This window comes from Homo sapiens, chromosome 20, assembly GCF_000001405.40.
Source record: "Homo sapiens chromosome 20, GRCh38.p14 Primary Assembly".
NCBI classification, from domain to species: Eukaryota; Metazoa; Chordata; class Mammalia; order Primates; family Hominidae; genus Homo; species Homo sapiens.
In genome coordinates this window covers 1,514,440-1,533,682 of record NC_000020.11, presented here as the reverse complement: position 1 = coordinate 1,533,682, position 19,243 = coordinate 1,514,440, and the positions used below count along the sequence as shown (strand labels likewise).

Here is a 19,243-nt window from a genome sequence, read left to right as displayed (position 1 = left end):
GCCCATCCAGTGGTTCAGAGGAGCTGGACCAGGCCGGGAATTAATCTACAGTCAAAAAGAAGGCAACTTCCCCTGGATAAGAACTGTTTCAGACATCACAAATAGAAAGAGCACAAACTATTCCATCTGTATCAGAAGCATCACACCAGCAGAGCCGGCACCTACTACTGTGTGAAATTCCAGAAAGGAAGCCTACATGAAGATTAAGTCTGGACAAGGCACCCAGATGTTTGTGCATGGTGGAGTACAGATCCCTAGAAATCCAGCGCATTGTTCTAAAACAAATTACAATCCCTGGGAGCCTAGCCTAAGGCTCCCCCTTTGTTAGCCCTTGTGCCAAGATTATGAATAGAAGATGGGGATAGTGAGAGGTCACAGTGAAGGAACAGGGTGAAATGTAACCCCAGCGCCATCTATCAGTAGACTCCTAACTCTTTAGAATCTTACAGCTTCCAAAGGCCCACAAAGCACAGTGGGTAAAAGTAGACTACAGCGCCAGATGGCCTGGGATCAACTTCTTGCTCTGCCATTTACATGCTATGTGACATTAATTCTATTTTTTTTTTTTACAAGGTCTCTCTGTGTTGCCCAGGCTGGAGTGCAGTGGCGTGATCCCAGCTCACTGCAACCTCTGCCTCCCAGGTTCACGTGATTCTCGTGCCACAGCCTCTTGAGTAGCTGGGATTATAGGCATGTACCATCATGCCCGGCTAATTTTTTTGGATTTTTTTTAGTAGAGACCTGATTACGCCACGTTGGCCAGCCTGGTCTCGAACTCCTGACCTCAAGTGATCCTCCCACCTCGGCCTCCCAAAGGGCTGGGATTACAGGCATGAGCCACCATGCCCAGCCTATGTGACCTTAATTCTTAATTAAGATTCTTAATTCAAAATGTTAAATTCTCTGTGCCTCAATTCCCTTGTGTTTAAGGTAGGGATAACAATAGTATCCACTTCACAGATTTGTTATAAGAATTATAAATGTGAATGGGCTTATAAATGGAAAACACTTAGAAGAGTGCCTGCTGTATAATAATTATTATATTACTATACATCATTAATACTCAGGATATTACAACCAATTAAACTTAAAAACATAATCTTAAAAGCATGGAACCATAGATTCCCATAAGATATGAATGATAAATTTATTGAGGCAGAAAGTTATAAGAATCACATGTAGATTATTGATATAGAATATGTAATTCCTACATTTCTTGAATTTTGTCCTTTGTTTCTATAAGTTCTGTGTATTCTCGAGTTTGGTCCTGGCTGATTCAATCATGGCTGAAGACAAACCTTGCAAGACTCTAAACAGCACCCATTAAAGGAAAGCCTGGGAAGCCCAACAGTTAGTTCAGATGTACTTGTATTGGTGAATTAATTATTATGATTCTTTTTTAAAAAAATGAGTGTGATAATTTACTGTAACAGAACCATAGAAACATACATCAAGATAATTTAGGGGACTTTCACATTTTAGCTTACAGCCATGGAGAAACAAGGAGAATGGTAGGCAGTCTTTGGGGACAAAGAGAATGTCATACAATTTTAAAGAATTGAAACTAAAAAGTTATGCACAAAGCACTGTGAGTGACACCAGCATGAGATGCCTAAGGACAATATTAGACCCAGGAATACAAGGAATAGTGCCTTCACAATTCTTAGGGAAAATTATTTCAAAGCTAAAATCATTTACCCAGACAATCTATGGAGTTTGCAAGATTATCAAGAATTGCTTTTTACACCCTCTTATGCTTAACTAAAATAGGAGTCATACAAAAAAAAAAAGGTAAGAATGAGAACTAGGAATAGGGGATTGGAAACCCTAAGATAACAGTTGTGCAGGAGGCATAGAAATGGCCACTGGGCCATTCCAGAACAGGAGGACTTGCAGCATTACTAGGGACATCTCCAAAAGATAGAATCAGTAGAATACTTAAGCAGTCTTCAAACTCATGCCCACCATTTCTAATAGTATTTAACATTACGTTGAAGTATTTGTCAATGCTTTTAGAAGGAGAGAACAATAAAAAGCATATTAATTGCAAAGGAAGTGGGAAAACTATCTCTCTTTGTAGATGATATGGTATCTGGAAAACTTAATAGAATCAACATTAAACTGCTATAAAAAACAAGATAATTTAAGTAACATAGTAAGTTATAAAATCAACAAACAGAAATCAACAACCTTCACATATACAAAGAAAAACCAGTTAGAACATACAGTGAAAAAAGACAAACACATAGTACAATAGCAAAATTAAATTAAATTAAATAATTGGGGCAACTTCTACCAAAATAGTGATGGGGACTGGATTTACTCTCTTGCTAAAAATCTGGGCAAATTATTTAAAACATGGTAGACAAGACATTGGATACCAGGCAACAAAGGACAGTGATCCCTGTGAAATGGGACATAAATGAAGCGAGCCCTAAGGCTGCCCTAAGAGTACTCTCTGAGAAGGCTTTAAGACCACCATGCAGAACGAGATAACTCAGGTGGAGCCCGAAGTTCTCCCTGAGTTGTTAAGAAGGACCTGGATGTCCACAGAGGCCAAGTGACTAGAGTTTTCAGGGTAGGGCACCAAAGAGCAGGTCGTTTCACAGAAAGAGAACTCCAAATATCTGTAAAAGGTCCCCATTGAATATTCAGTGAAGTATTGAAAAGTGTATTATGTACATGAGAAAAGTACATGAGGCCAGAGGAGAAAAATTTCTGGAGCTTACGCAAGGCTAAGAATAGTGCCTGATCTTTACAACCTGAGTGAAAAAAACTTATAATTCATGGGACATCTGGTAGAATACACAGAAGAGTTCTGCCTCAGTAAAGGAAAAAGAATTAGCCCTAGACCAAATGATGCTGGAGGCATGCCTTGCAAAGCTTAAGTCCAAAACATGAAAAGTTCAAACCGCTTCCAGGTAATTTAACCATGTCCCAAAACAAGCTCAAGCATATTTATAGAAAGGCAAAATACCCACTACCCATTGAAGTAAAAGTCACAATATCTGTTATCCAATAAAAAATTACCAGGCATGAAAATGGCAGGAAAATGTGATTCATAATAAGAAAAATTAATCATTTGAAACTAACCAGAAAAGACAGGTGATAAAATTAGTACACAAAGAAATTAAAGTTATTATAAGTATACTCTGTATGTTCAGGAAGCTAGAAGAAAAACTGAATATGTGAAGTAGATGCACGGAAAATATTTAAAAGATCCATATTGAACTTTTAGAGATGAAAGCTGCAATATCTAAGATGAAAAATAGACTGAGTAGGATTAATAGCAGTTAAGATGTTGAAGAAAATAGATTAATGAACTTAAAGACACAACAACAGAAACTATTCAAAATGACACAGAGAGATAAAAATGGAATATATAAAGCCACATCCAAATATAAGACCAAAAAAATTAAAAACTGTATAAAAGATAAACAGAGCAGCCAGATGCAGTGGCTCACGCCTGTAATCCCAGCACATTGGGAGGCCAAGGCGGGTGGATCACGAGGTCAGGAGATCGAGACCATCCTGGCTAACACGGTGAAATCCCATCTCTGCTAAAAAAAAAACAAAACATTAGTCGGGCGTGGTGGCGGGCGCCTGTAGTCCCAGCTACTTGGGAGGCTGAGGCAGGAGAATGGCGTGAACCCAGGAGGTGGAGCTTGCAGTGAGCCGAGATGGCACCACTGCACTCCAGCCTGGGCGACAGAGCGAGACTCCATCTCAAAAAAAAAAGATAAACAGAGCATCAATCAGCAGCTATGGGGAAATTTCAAGTGGCCTAATAGATATGTATTGGAGACACCAGTGGAAGAGGGGACAGAAAGAATATTTGAAGAAATAATGGTCACATATGTTCCAAATATGATGAAAACTGTAGACCCACAGATCCAAAAACTCGATGAACCCCAAGCACAAACCAAGTTGCACAAACCAATAAAGAAAATATCTTAAAAGCAGCCCCCCAAAAAGAAATATTAAATACAAAAGAACAAAAAATACAGGAGACTTTTCATCAAAAATAATGCAAGCTTAAGACAGTGGGGATACATCTTTAAAGCTTTTTTTCTTTTTTTTTTGAGACAGAGTTTCACCCTCATCACCCAGACTGGAGTGCAGCGGCGCGATCTCGACTCACTGCAACCTCCGCCTCCCAGATTCAAGCAATTCTCCTGCCTCACCCTCCCGAGTAGCTGGGATTACAGGCACCTGCCATCATGCCTGGCTAATTTTCGTACTTTTAGTAGAGACAAGGTTTCACCATATTGACCAAGCTGGTCTCGAACTCCTGACCTCAGGTGATCCACCCTCCTCGGCCTCCCAAAATGCTGGGATTACAGGCATGCCCCACGATGCCTGGCTATTTAAAGCATTTTTAAAAAGAAAACAATAATTAATTAGTCATTCTAGAATTTTTACCTAGCAAAAATATCTTTTAAAATAAATACATAAAATTAAGCATTTAATTTATTTATCTATTTTTTGAGCCAGTCTTGCTCTGCCATCCAGGCTGGAGTTAAGTACTCACTTTGGCAGCACAGATACTAAGAGTGAAATGATACAGAGATTAGTATGGCCTGTGTACACGGATGGAATGCAAATTTGTGATGCATTCCATATATTTTCCCAGTTTTGCTAGATGGAAAGCATTCTAGAGATGTATAGTGGTGATGGTTGCACAACAATGTGACTCATGCCACTGAAACTGTACTCTAAATGTGTACTCAATGCCACTGAACTGTACACTAAAAAATGGTTAAGATGGCAGATCTTATGTGTACTTTACCACAATTTTTGAAGTGAAGAATAAAGATTTTATCAATCATACAAAAGCTGAAAGAATTCATCATCAACAGATCTGCACTACAAGAAATGTTAAAAAGAAGTCCTTCCAACAGTAGTGAAATGATACCAGATGGAAACCTGGATATATACAAAGAAATTAAAAGCAAGAGAAATAGTAACAATGTGGGAAAATATTTTAAAAGTATATTTAAATGTACTTAAAACATAGCTGTTCAAAGCAAATACAATAATAATATATTTGACAAATTATAACATACATGGAAGTAAAATGTGTGAGAAAAATAGCACAAAGACCAGGAAGAGAGACACAGAAATATATTACTGTAAGAATTTTATGCTATGTGTGAAGTGATACCTTATCACTCATGGTAAATAATGATGAGTTAATAATGTATGCCAGAAATCCCAAAACAACCAGTAAAATAACACAACAAAGAGTAATAGCTAATAAACTGACAAAAGACATAAATCAGAATCATAAAAATCAATCCAAAAGAAGACAGAAAATGAGGTACACTGGAAAAGAGATGAGGCTAGTAAGTAGCAAGATCATAGATTTAGACCTAGTCATATAAATAATCATATTAAATGTAAATGGTTTAAACACACCAATTAAAATAAAGTGATTTTTGCATTATATTTTTTAAAGTAGGATCCACTATTTGCTGCCTGCAGAGAATTGATTCTCTTCAAAAATAAAGGCACAAATAGATTAAAAATAAAAGGACAGAAAAATATATGCAACATCAACAATAATTTTTTAAATATGGAATGCCTACATTAATATCAAAGTGTATTTAGAACAAAGAAATTATGAGAACATAGAATATCATTTATAATAAGCTTATCAATTAATAAAATATACCAATTCTAAATGTTGATGCATATAATAATAGAGTTTCAAAATACATAAAACAAAACTCATGGAATTGCAAGAATATATAGAAAAATCTACAATTATAGTCAGATCTCAAAACCTCTCTTTCAATAATTGGTAAAAAAAGGAGGCAGAAAATCAGTAAAGATGTAGAAGACTTGAACAGCACTATAAGCCAACTTGAGCTAACTGATACTTATAGAATGCTCCATCCCAAAACAAGAGAATACACATTCTTTTTAACTACAAAAGAAACATTTACCAACATAGATTGTATTCTCAGCCATAAATAAGTCTCAGTAAGTTTGAAATAAATCAAGTCATGAGAAGTGTGTTTTCTGACCACAATGGAATTAAATTTATTTATTTATTTTTAATTTTATTTAATTTAACCCTCAGTAGTCATAGAAATTAAATTTAAAAAGCAAACATCTCTAGAAAATCTCCAAACATTTTAAAACTAAATATACTTCTGAATAATACATTATTGAAAAAGAAATCGGAAGAAAAATTAGAAAGTATTTTGTATATGTATGTATGTATGTATTTATTTATTTATTTGAGACAGGGTCTCACTCTGTCCCACAGGCTGGAGTGCAGTGGCACAATCACGGCTCACTGTAGTCTCAACCTCTCGGGCTTGGGTGATCCTCCCACCTAAGCCTCCTGAGTAGCTGGGACTACAGGTGCACTCCACCCTGCCCAGCTAATTTTTGTATTTTTTTGTAGAGACTGAGTTTTGCTGTGTTGCCCAGGTTGATCTCAAACTCCTGAGCTCAAGTGATCTGCCTGCTTCAGCCTCCCAAAATGCTGGGGTTACAGGCATGAGCCACCACTCCTGGCTTAGAAAATATTTTTAACTGAATGAAAATGAAAGCATAGCATACCAAATTTGTGGCATGCAGCCAAAAGAGTACTTAGCAGGAAATTCATAGCACTAAATCCCTATATTAGGACAGAAGAAAGGTTTTTTTCAGAGACTTCAAAAAGTAGGAAAAAATGAAGAAAGGAAATAATAAGGAACACAGCAGAAATCAGAAACATAAAATGAAAAAATATAGAAAAAATCAATAAGAGCAAAAGCTGGTTCCTTGAGAAAATTCATAAAATTAATAAATCCATATCCACACAGTTAATCAGGAAAAAAGAAAGAAGATACAAATTACCAATATCAATAATGAGAGAGGTGACACTACTACAGACTCCACAGATATTAAAAAGATTATAATGGAACTTTATGAAAAACTTTATACCAATAAACTTAACAACTTTGATGAAATGGACAAATTCTTTGAAAGACATAGACTGCTAAAGCTCACTCAAGAAGAAATAAATAGGCTAATTATCGCTATATCTATTAAAGAAATTAAATTTGTAGTTTAAAAAGCCTCTGACAAAGAATAATTCAGACCCAGATGACTTCACTGAGGAATTCTATCAAACAATTGAGGAAGAAGTACTAACAATTTTACTCAAATTATTTCAGAAAATTAAAGAGGAAGTGAGGCTTCCCATTCTGTGAGGCCAGCATTACAGATAAAGAATCATAGAAAAGCAAAACTATAGATCAATATCCCTCATGAACAGAAAATTATTATAGAGCTATAGTAATCATACAGTGTGGTATTGGCATCAAGATAGACAAGTGGGGGGGAGGGATAGCATTAGGAGATATACCTAATGCTAAATGATGAGTTAATGGGTGCAGCACACCAACATGGCACATGTATACATATGTAACAAACCTGCACATTGTGCACATGTACCCTAAAACTTAAAGTATAATAATAATAAAATAAAATAAATTAAAAAATAAAAAAAGAAAAGAAAAAAAAGACAAGTGGATCAATGGAACAGAATAGAGATTCTAGAAATAGACTCATACATATGGTCAATTGATTGCTTAAAAAAAAAGTATGAAGGCAAGTCAGTGGAAAAAGAAGAGACTTTTCAACTGTGGTGTTGGATCATTTGAAGAGTTAATAGACCAATGGAACAGCATAGAAAAATCCAGAAGTGTATCTATCTAGTTCCTCCCACCATACACCAAAATAAATTCCAAGTGGATCAGAGATTTAAATGTAAGAAACGAAACTATTTAAGTACTAGAAGAAAACATATATATATATATATTCTTTTATAACCTAGAAATGGAGAAAACCTTCCCAACTGTAACTCAAAATGCAGAAAGATTTAAAAGATTATAATTTTGATCGCATTGTACAAAAAGAAACTTGTGTATAGGTGTGTGTACTATTTTGCGATTTACATCGTAGACAAAAAATAATCCCTAATATAGAGAAAGCTTCTAAAATTTTAGAAGACAGTCAACCTTTTAGAATTATGGGCAATAAATGGGAAAAGACAAGTTATAGAAAATGAAATACAAATGTTTCAAACATATAAAAATACGCTCAACCACCCTTGTATAGGAAGAAATGCAAATTAAAAACTACACTGAGACACGGTTTCTCACCTATCTGCTTGACCAAAAATCCAAAAGTTCAACAGCACGTTCTGTTGGGGAAGCTAAGGCGAAACAATTACTCCATATTTTGCTGTTAGGAATGCAAAACCATATAACTCATAAAGAGGTGAACTTGGCAATATCTAGCAAAATTACCTCGTGACCCAACAATTCAACTTCCAGAAATGTATCCCAAAGATCTACTAACACAAGTGCAGGATGACTTATCCTTAGGCTCTTCATCACAACACTATTGGTAAGAGCAAAAGCTGAGCTGCCTACTAAATTATGGTACAGCCGCACACTGGGTATTATGTGACTTTAAAAGGGCGTAAGGAGGAACTCAGCACACCACTTCAGAGTGACCCACAGCATATCATTAAACAGGAAAATATATAGAAGAGTGTGTGGAGCACACTACCTTTTATGTTTACAAGAGTGAGAAATACAAGCATGTGTATATTGTCTCTTGTGGTTTTGTGTGTGTGTGTGTGTGTGTGTGTGTGTGTGTGTGTGTGTGTGTGTGTGTGTTTTCCTTTTTTTGAGATGGAGTCTTGCTCTGTCGCCCAGGCTGGAGTGCAGTGGCTCGATCTCGGCTCACTGCAAGCTCCGCCTCCTGGGTTCACGCCATTCTCCTGCCTCAGCCTCCCGAGTAGCTGGGACTACAGGCGCCCGCCACCACGTCTGGCTAATTTTTTTTTGTATTTTCAGTAGAGACGGGGTTTCACCGTGTTAGCCAGGATGGTCTCGATCTCCTGACCTCGTGATCCACCCGCCTCGGCCTCCCAAAGTGCTGGGATTACAGGAGTGAGCCACCGCTCCCGGCCTTGTGTCTTGTTTTTTTAGAAAAAGAGGAATAAACTAAAATCATAATTTAAAAATTTACATGTAAAGGAGAAAGGGAACAGAATGGAAGAGACAAGGGGGAAGCCAGACTTCTCTGAATGTGCTGTGACTTACGTTTTGACTTTCTAAGCACATGAATTTTTAAATAATTAATAAATTCCAAAATGAAAAAAAATCCTAAAAATCTAAATTACTAAATCTAAAGTAAAACTAATTAATCTAACTATATATTGATGGCTTAACTAGACAAAGACTAATTATTTCGAGGGACTTTAAAACACAGAGATAGGTTCAGTGAGAAGCCAACTGTAAGACAAGGATTTCAGTGCAATTAACAACAGTAAGGAGTGGTGAAGCCAGTCAATAAAGGGCATGTTATCAAGCCCACTACCACTGCGCGCGACTGCAGCTGAATACAGTTGGGAAACTGGGAAATAGTACCGGATGTGGGCAATTTATCAGAGTCAACAACCTGGTTTTTTCAGCAAATAAATGGCAAGAGAACAAAGAGGAAGTGGAACTCCTTTAGATTAATAGAGGTTTAAAAGGCATCAACAAAATGTAACATATGGCTTTAATTTGCATCCTCATTCAAACAAACCAACTGTAAAGTTATATTTATGAGACAAGCAGAAAAATTTGACTGTTGACAAATGTTAGATGATATTAAGGAATTACTATTAAATTTTAAGTATAATAATGACATTTTATTGTTTAAAAAAAGAATTCTTAACTCTTCTACATGCTGAAGTAGTTAAGAATGAAATAATATCATGTCTGGTATTTACCTTAAAACCATCCAGTGTATGGCTTATTTCACTTAGCATAATGCTTACTAGGTTCATCCATGTTGTCACAAATGGCAAGATCTCCTTATTTTTAAGGCTGAATAATATTCCATTGTATACATATGCCACAATTTCTTTATCCATTCATACATTGACAAACATTTACGTTGTTTCTATATCTTAGCTACTGTGAGTAATGCTGCAATAAACATGGGCATGCAGATACATTTACAAGGTGGTGAATTCATTTTCTTTGGGTATATACCTGAAAAAAACCTTGCTGGGTTATATGGTAGTTTTATTTTTAATTTCTCTCACTTACATGTAAAATATAAAAAACAAAACAACTCGAATATATAGAAACAGAGTAGGACAATGGTTACCTGGGATGGGAAGTTGAAAAAATGGGGAGACAGATGGAAGTCCACGAGTACAAAATTTGTTATGTAGGATGAATAAGCCCAGAGATCTAATGTACAGTGTGAGGACTACAGTTAATAGTATTGTACTGTATACTGGAAATTTGCTAAGAGGGAGGATTTTAGATACTTTTACCACACACACGAAAATGGTAACTATGTGAGATACTGGATATACTAATTTTCTTGACTGTAGTAATCATTTCACTAAGTGTATGTATAGCTACACATCATGTCGTACACTTTAAATGTATACAATAAAAAATACTAACCCAGCAGTTGATGGGAGAAGTGTAGACGAAACAGGATCAGCCATTTGTTTGTAGCTGTTAAAATGCCATTGTGAATACTTTCTCTCTGTTTTTATGTATGTTTACAAATTTATCATAATAAAAAGATTTTTTAATTCAAGCCTATACAATCCCCTGAAAAATCTTTGTGCACTCCTGAATACACATGTACCCTAAAGTGAAGTCCAGTGCAGTACTTAGTAGTTTCAAACATGAAGGAAATCTGGCAGAAAGCTTGGGGATGAGTTTGTCATAAGTTCATAGAAAATGAAGCAAATGAAAATAATGACACCATTAAAAGAACAGCATGATGACAGTCAACAATAATTTAATTGTACATTTTAAAATAGCTAAAAGAGTGTAATTGGATTATTTGTAACATGAAGGATAAATGTTCGAGGGGTTGGATACCCCATTTTCCATGATGTGATTGTTACACATTGCATGCCTATGTCAAAACATCTCATGTACCCTGTAAATATATACACCTACTACATACCCACAAAAATTAAAAATTAAAAAATATATATTAAAAACCTCCACGGAAAACAAAAAGCTGTACAAGACAGGAAATATGATTATGATATATTACATGGCCCAATTATGAATAATGCTCATTTGGTCATAATAATATAAATGCTGAATACTGATAAAACAAAAAATTATGATGTGTCTTTAATAGGAGGATGTGAGGCGGAGAAATATGGATGGCAGGTAGAAGGAGCTGTAAGAGAGCTAGAGCATCATCTTCCATAGCAGTAGGTAGATCCATAATATATAAAACTGAAAAAGATGAGAAAATATGAAAATAACAGTATAAGTATGTTAGTATCAACATAGAAACACAGAGAAATATGCCCAAAGAATCCACTAAAATAGTTAAAACGTGTTGGTCTATAATATTTGCAAGGAGAGGAAACCAGGGGTCTGCTGTTTTTCGGGATATACCTTATGTGACTTTTTAAACAATGTACTTTGGGAAGAAGATAGGGATGAGAGGGGACAGGAGGAAGGTGAGCAAGGGAATAACATGGTCAGATCTCCATTTTAGCAAGATCACCATGGTCTGATTTCCAAGTGTAGGTTGGAAGAGCTGAGAGGTAAAGTCAGTGAGGTCAGTTGATAGGCCGTTATAACAAGAAGAGTAATGATAAAGTTTATGAAGAGGAGAAAACTGGAGATGGGCGATTGGGGCAGGAAGTCAAGCAGAGTGAACCATGAGGGTGAGTATTGGGCTAGAGAGTAACTCTCCCTCTTCATTTTTCTCTCTTCTCTCTCCTTCTTCTCTTCACCCTTGCCCTGATCAAAGCTAAGCTCTCTCTTCCAAAGATTTCTGGCCCTTCCAACAGGGCTAGCCCAGGCCAACTAGTGAATCTCACCTGCACCTCAACTGGCTTCTTTGCCGAAAACATATATGTGAAATGGCTCAAAAATGGCATAGAGCTTCCAGCCTTTCAGACCCAGGTCTTCCCGCATGCAGATGCTTCCTCCTACACCGTCATCAGCACTGCTACAGTGACCCTTGGCTTCTCCTCACTCCACTCCCAGGTCACCTGCCAAGTGGCTCACAGTGAATTGCAGAGTCCCCTCAGAGGGCACGTGAACATCTCCCAATTTCTCCAAGGTAAGCCCCCCACACAAACAGGGCCAACCTTTTGTGACCACTGTAGGCTCCCTGCTTGAAGCATGTCACCTGCATCCTCCCATTCATTCCTCACAAAACCCTCAGTGAGGTGGTGATAAGGTTCCCTGTTTTATATGACCATCCTCCTTCTGCATAATGCTATGATCGAGTTCTTCTCTTTCAGAGCTCCCTTCCCTCTAGCGTCTTTGGGAGGTGGAACTTCATTCACCCATTCAACAGGTTTTGTTGAGCATCTGCTATGTGGTGGCATTATTCTCGGTGCTGGGGATTCCATGGTAAACCAAGCAGACCTGGTTCTGCCTTGCTGAGTTTACAGTCATGTGAACCCGATCAACCAAGACACAAACAACTATATGGTTATATTCATCACATTTGCTATGAAGAGAAAGAACAGATTGCTGAAATATATGAAAAGGAGAGAAATCCAGTTTACTCAGGAAATGTCTTTTTGAAGAACTGATGTTTGAGCCAAGGCATGAAGAATGAAAAGGAGTCAGCCAAGCAAAGTGCAGAGTGTTCCAGGCACAGGAAACAGAGCGTGAAAAGGCCCTGTGATGCAGCGGGGAGCAAGACATGTCTGAGAAGCAGAGACGAAGCCAGTGTGGCTGAGGCTTAGTGAGAGGACGAGTGCATGGAAAAGGAAGAGGCTGGCAAGAGAGGGGCAGGGACCTGATCACCTAGGGCTTCACAGCAAAGAAGTTTCTCCCACTTGAACTCTCCATGGGAACTCCTAACACCATTGTTCAAACCACCATGCCACCACTGCCTTGCCACCAGTCACCACCTTTGAAACATGCTTCTTAAACTCACCCTGGCATCAGGAGAACCAGCAAAGCAGGCTACACACACATGCCCTTTCTGGCTCTTACTTCAAGTCCATCTGCCTTTGCCTTCATAGGGGCTTTCCCCAGGGGCCTGTACTGTCCTTTGCCCCCAACCAACCTCAGCATAGAGTAGTCTCAGTTACCTCCTGCAGATGGGTGAAGTTCCTTCCAGGGTTCCAGAACTCCCTCTTTCCTTCTCTCCAGCTCCAGCCAGAGAAAACCAAGGAGACCCATTAATAGCACCATAGTCTCCACAGCAACCCCATAAGGGAGATAATTTATGGTATCATTGTCAAGAATTTAGCTCCTCATTACTCAAATGCCTCCAGCCCAAAATAGAAGTGTGTCTTGCTTAACCAAAAGATACCACAAGAGAGCTCCAGCCTGGAAAGTGAATTCTAGCCTCCACATCAATCATCTCAAAGAAACTAGAGGCAGCTTTGTGTCCTTGCTTCATTCAGATGAGGAAACTGAGGCCCAGAAAAGTGAAGTGACTTGCCCAAGGTCACAGGGTTCTTCAGTAAGCATGCTGGAATTTGAACCCAGTGTTACACCTCTTCAGATAACTACCTCTGATCTGCCTCCTGTAAGAACCACCTATTCAGAGATACCAGAGAAAGGCAATACCCACCCCCACCTTCCCCAGGAGTGGTGGTTCAGTCATGGTCAGCCCAGAGATTGGTGTTGCGCTGCTCCCCCAACCCTCTCAGAACTGCTGCTCCTTCCATCCTACCCATATAAGTGAAGAAGACACTCCCCATCGACCAAGTCATCCAAGCCTGAAACCTCTTCTCACACAACCCATCACCAAGTTCTATCAGATTTCACTCCCAAATATTTCCTGAACTCATACATTCTTTTCCACTGCCACTACTTAAGTTCATAGTTAAGCTCAAGCCAACATCCATGAGCAATTGCAAGAGCCTCCTAATTGATCGCTAATATCCACCATTGCCCTCCACAGTCCTTCCCCAAAACTCCCAGCAGCCAAGGGGATTTTATAAAGGAAACCAGATCATGTCTCTCCTTTGCTTAAAATCCTACAGTAGCTCATCACTTCTCTTAGGGAAAAAAAAAATTATTACTGGGATGTTCAAATGTGATATTCAAGCATTTTTGTGTATATTTCCCTAAAATAATTGTGAAGAACTATGTAGTGTATCATAAATTTTAAAGTTGACTCTAAAATTTTTCATTTTAAGCTTAAATGGTTGCACAGAACATAACTCCTGGAGTATTACAAATGTTGCATCACTCCAAAACATATTCAGTGAAAAAAATAACATCATCATAATTTAATTTCCACCATGATCCATTTAAACATACATAAAGAAGCTCTTCTTTAATAATCAGGCATCTTATATCATTCCTTTTACTTCTTAAAGTTGTATTTCCATTCTAACTCCCATGAAGAATTTTACCTTAATGTAACATATTTTATTGTGGAAAATCTTTTCTTCACTATAAAATCATACAGATCATATCACAGAGAACTATGAGAACACAGAACTCAAGCAAAACTACATCTGTAAGTTGAAATTTAAAATAAAATTTTTATGACCATAAGGCTCTCAGTGTCAAAAAACATTCTTTTGGATTGAATTGCACAATAGATCCAAACAATCTAAATATATAAAAATGTTTGATAAGTAATTATTAAAATAGCCATTAACTTGGTATTGGAAATGCAGTTTGGCAAGGTAGATGGGGGAGTGGATGGTGCTTTGGTTAAAGCAGGCTTCCTGGCCAGCAGTATTTGAAATGTCCTTTTATTTTGCATCCCAAAGTCTTTACACCAAGGACAATGCCCCACTTCAGGAAGTGTGGGAGGAAGGCCTTTCTTTTGTGATATGGGAGAAGGAAAATTGAGAAACCGGAGGTAAGAAAAGAAAATGGCCCTGATGCTCATTCTCAGGCAGATCAATCTAAGTAAACAGTCTTATGAGGGTTCAGGATCTGGAAATTAATTGTATTAAAATAATGTTCGTATGCCTTAGAATGTCTTTAAGTGCCCCCAGGCCACCTTTAAGTGTAGCCAGCCTCCAGATTGGCTATGAATTCAGCCTCACTCACCCATCCTCTCTCTCATTCACTTTGATCTTCTTTCTAAAGTCCATGGAAACTCAGGGCCTCTGCCCAGGTCCATCTGTCTGCTGAGATGCCATTCCCACCCCCAACCTCTCCCAGCACCCCCCTTCTCCTGCCCCACAAACCCTTTTGCCTAATGTTTCACAATTATTAGGGATATATAACAAATTATCCCCAAATTTATTCCAGTATTCCAAATTTACTCCATATTCCCTTAAATGACTATGCTGTTAGATGCTGTGGGTTAGGAATTCCAGCAGGGCTGGGCAAGGACAGCTTGCTGTGTTCTATGATGGTTGAGCCTCAGCTGGACAATTCAGAGGCTGGAATCACCTAAAGGCTCCTTCACTAACATGCCTGACCATTGGTCCTGGCTGTTGGCTTGGGGCCTTTGTTCTTCTTGGCATGGGCTTTTCCTTATTATCTTTCTGTTGCCAGAAAAAGGGTCCCTATTCAGGCCCCAAGAGGGGGTTGTTGGATCTGATACAGGAAGAAGTTAAAGGCAAGTCACAGAGTACAGTGAGAAGAGATAATTTATTGAAAGTTACTCACTTACAGGGTGGGGTGTCCTCAGAAAGAAAGCAGAGGAAAGCCTCTTCTTTAAGTTTTTCTTATAAAGGTGTCTTGTCCATGTAAAAGCTAAGCTAAGCTGTGTCTACACTCATGTGAGCAGACAGCGTGACAAAATTTATTATTCTATTGATTTAAAGAAAACTATCCTTGACATTCTAGAGTTTGAGTACATCAAAGAATATAATGATCTTGAAAACATATATTTTTATGGGTATTGGGACATCCTGACTTTCCACTGTTATAGAAATGTGTCTTTGTAGGAATCTTTAGGCTTTTCTTCCGTTGTAAATATCTTATAACTGTCGGTCGTAACCAGCAAGGAATGTGCCTTGTTAGTTCCAAGACAGAGTTGAACTTAAAGTAGCATTAGTCTGGCTCTCCTAGGCTCCTGCTTCCCCAACATTTCCACATAGGCTAGTAATAGCTTGGTGGCTGTGTCCCAAGGGTGTGTCCCAAGAAAGAGCTAGGTAGAAGCCATACCAACTTTCATTACCCAGCCACAGAAGTCACACAGTGTTGTCCCTGCTACATTCTATTCATCAAAGCAGTTACAAAGTCCAGGGGAGCAGAAATAGACTCCTCCTCTAATGCGGAGTAGCAAAGTTCTGGAAGAGTATGTGGCTGCCATAATTTTTGGAAAATGCAATCTGCCACATAGAGTTAACTCTTAATTCGTCTTTCATATTTGAATTTCATATTTGAATCTTTCAAATTCAAAGATTTCCACACAAAGGTTACTTCCTCTGGAGACCCTTTCCTAACCTGCCCTCCTGCAGACCAGGTCAATTGTCCCTATTGTAGGCTCTTGGAACTCCTGTAGGAGTCATGTGACTGCTTTGTTTCCTTCCCGTCCTCCTCACCAGAGCGGGAGCTCCATAAGGCAAGGAACATGCCTGTCTTGGTCAATGCTGTATTCCAAGAACCCTGCACACTGCCTAGGAAGGTGTAGACACCCCTTGAGCACGCTTTGCATAAAGGAAGAAACTAACGAAGGCAGTGCTATTGTTTCAGTTGTGCCCACAGTGAATATCTCAGCACACCATGTCCCAGGACTCCAGACTGCCATTCTCACCTGCCATATACAAAGGTTTCACCCCAAAGTCACACAAATTGCCTGGCTAAAGAGAAATGGATACTTCAAGACCTGTGAGGCACTTGGCCCCACCAAGAACCCAGATGGCACATTCACCCAAGACAATCATATCCTGGTCAACACTTCAGAGTGAAAGGATAAAAAACAGTTCACCTGCCAAGTGTGGCAGAATAACCAGGCTCTGGTCCAGGCCAGTAGGCAGCTGAGCAGGCCCAAAGAAGAGCAAGCGAGTCTGGGAGAGTAGGACCGGAATAACCAAGCAGGTAAGGGCTCAGACCTAGAGACAGACAGGCCAGGTTCAAATGCAGGCTTTGCTGTTCTCACCATGTGTGACCTTGGAAAAGTCACTTCACCTCTTTCTGAATTATCTATAAAATGGAACAGCAATTATGGCAACCTCTTTAGAGCATTACGTCTCCAGTACCAAATTGCAGTAAGTGCTGCTTTCATCAGCTGAATCCTGACCACCCACTCATTTTACCAGATACTCCTTTGAATAACTAAGCTAATCTGAAATATCTTTCCCCAGTTCCCACCCATCCTCCAAAAGCCATTCAGATTTAACAATTACTGAGCACCTATTAGGTACTTTGGGTGCTCCCATTTGATACAAAAACATTCTGAAATGCGTGTTATAATCCCCACTTTACAGATGAAGGAAACTGAGGCTTATATAGGTGAGGTGACTCTCCCCAAGACCAGGGTATAGTCTTGGGACCTGAGTCAGGGGTGGGGCTGAGCCTGCTTGGGGGTCTAGTGGAAACAGGATCTAGCCTCATCCTGACATTGTTCTGTCACCAGGTACCCCTGTGTGCAACTCCTTCCTGCTCCTTTGCTGGAACTTTCTGCCATCTGTGTCCTTAGGAGGAGCCTTTCTTCCAGGTAAGGGGGGACCCTAGATGGGATTAGGCTCCCAAGGGTGGGACTCCAGCTGACAGGGGCACTGTGAGAAGAAGGCTGTGGAGCCCTCCCATTTCTCCTGTACCTTGAATGGGTGTTGATCCATAGGGTCCCCGAGAGTTGCACCGCTATCCCCTTGACCTTCCTCTGTCTCTCATTCAGCCTGAGGATGTACAAAGAGGCAGGTTCCCTGGTCAGGGCAGGAGAGGGGGCACTTAAGGAGGAAGAAACAGAGAGAGCTGGTATGAAGACAGCACCCTTGAGGTAGACTCTAAGGAGAGGTGTGAGAAAATCATGGGCTGTGCCTCAGCCCCTGCTTCCTCTACAGGTCATAGACCCCGCAAAGGCAGTCCTCCACAGTGACATAGGACCCTCAGTCCCTCCTGTCTTATTTAGGAGGACTGGACTTAGAGGAGGACCTGCCATGATGTCTGTAGCTGCTCCCTCAGCTTCTCTTGCCTCATCAGCCTTCTGAGACCTGAACAGCACTGGCCATCCCTCCCTGTCTCCTGCAGCCACCAGAGGAAGGGAGCACCTAGACTGGAAAGGTCAACAGTGAGAGGGAGATTCTCATGCCTTACCCAGGAATGAATTTTCTGTGGCAAGTCTGACCTCAGAGTCCATGATACTGACCAGGAAACCCAGCAGAGGCAGGATAGGCTCCAACCCTGAGGAAAATAGATGCCTGCATTTCTGATGGCTCCTTCCTGGCTCATCAAGGAAAGCCCATTGCTCTGCCATGAAACCCAAGCTCTGCCATGAAACCTCTACAGCCCCATCATTAAAACTGAGTTAAATGAAACACTTATGGCCAATAAACATATGAAGAAATGGCCAACCTCATTAGTAATCAGGAAAAGCCACGGCAAAACCACACTGAGATGTCATTTTGTCCCTGTTCAAATAGCAAAAGTAAAGAAGCCACTGGATCTTTTTTGCATTGCTAGTGGGCACATAAATGGACACAGCTGTTTTGGGAAACAGATTGGAAAATTTTGTTGTGTTAAACACTCACATACCCTATAACCTGGCACTTCCACTCTCAGGTTACACTCAAAAGAAACTTGCACATGTGCACCAGGAGATATGTACAAATATGTACATGGAGACATTGTTTAAAATTAGCAAAACCTGAGAACAATCCAAATGCCCATCTGCAGTACAATGTGTGATAAACTTAGTACACTCACAGAATGGGATATTCTATAGAAAGCAAAATTAATTAACTACAGCCGCACACAGTAACATGGATAAATTTTAGTAATACAATATTGATGGGGGTAAGTAAGTCCCAGAGATTTCATGAAAAATGATGGTCTTTTAATAAAGCTGAAAACAGCTAACATTAGTTTTTAGGAATACATAGAAATACAATGAAACCCATTTTTTAAAAGGAACAATGAACACAAGATTAAAAATAGCAGTGACCTTGGATGTAGGAGGGCAGAAGGATGAGAATTTGGGGTACATAAAGATAGGTGGAAATTATCGTGAAGGTTCTAGCTTTCATGATGGATGGTGGCTTCACAAATGTTTATATTAAGATTTTTTTTAAATGGACAGATTAACAATATAAAATTGATATAGGTATGCAGGTAAATAGATAGATGCATGGTTGATTGGA

At 39.2% G+C, this 19,243-nt stretch overlaps 2 long non-coding RNA genes and 1 pseudogene across 2 annotated transcripts in view, besides 1 other annotated feature; 2 read left to right on the top strand and 1 right to left on the bottom strand.

Moving 5' to 3' along the window:
* The window catches only part of LOC105372499 (uncharacterized), a 37,633-nt gene that overhangs the window by 16,511 nt on the left and 1,879 nt on the right, over nt 1-19,243 (bottom strand). The gene's annotated exons all lie outside the window — the stretch shown is intronic.
* RNU6-917P (RNA, U6 small nuclear 917, pseudogene) lies at nt 4,524-4,627 on the top strand (annotated as a pseudogene).
* Nucleotides 11,390-12,589: an enhancer, noted in NCBI's record as "BRD4-independent group 4 enhancer chr20:1501740-1502939 (GRCh37/hg19 assembly coordinates)". NCBI's record gives its function as "activates an origin of replication core promoter dependent on BRD2, P300/CBP, MED14 and CDK7 cofactors, and independent of BRD4, by STARR-seq in HCT116 cells {active_cell/tissue: HCT116}" and the evidence as "EXISTENCE:reporter gene assay evidence [ECO:0000049][PMID:35650434]".
* LOC105372498 (uncharacterized) lies at nt 12,061-18,096 on the top strand. The gene is made up of 3 exons (XR_937198.3): nt 12,061-12,120; nt 17,521-17,601; nt 18,016-18,096. It is a non-coding gene; the product is annotated as an uncharacterized LOC105372498 (long non-coding RNA).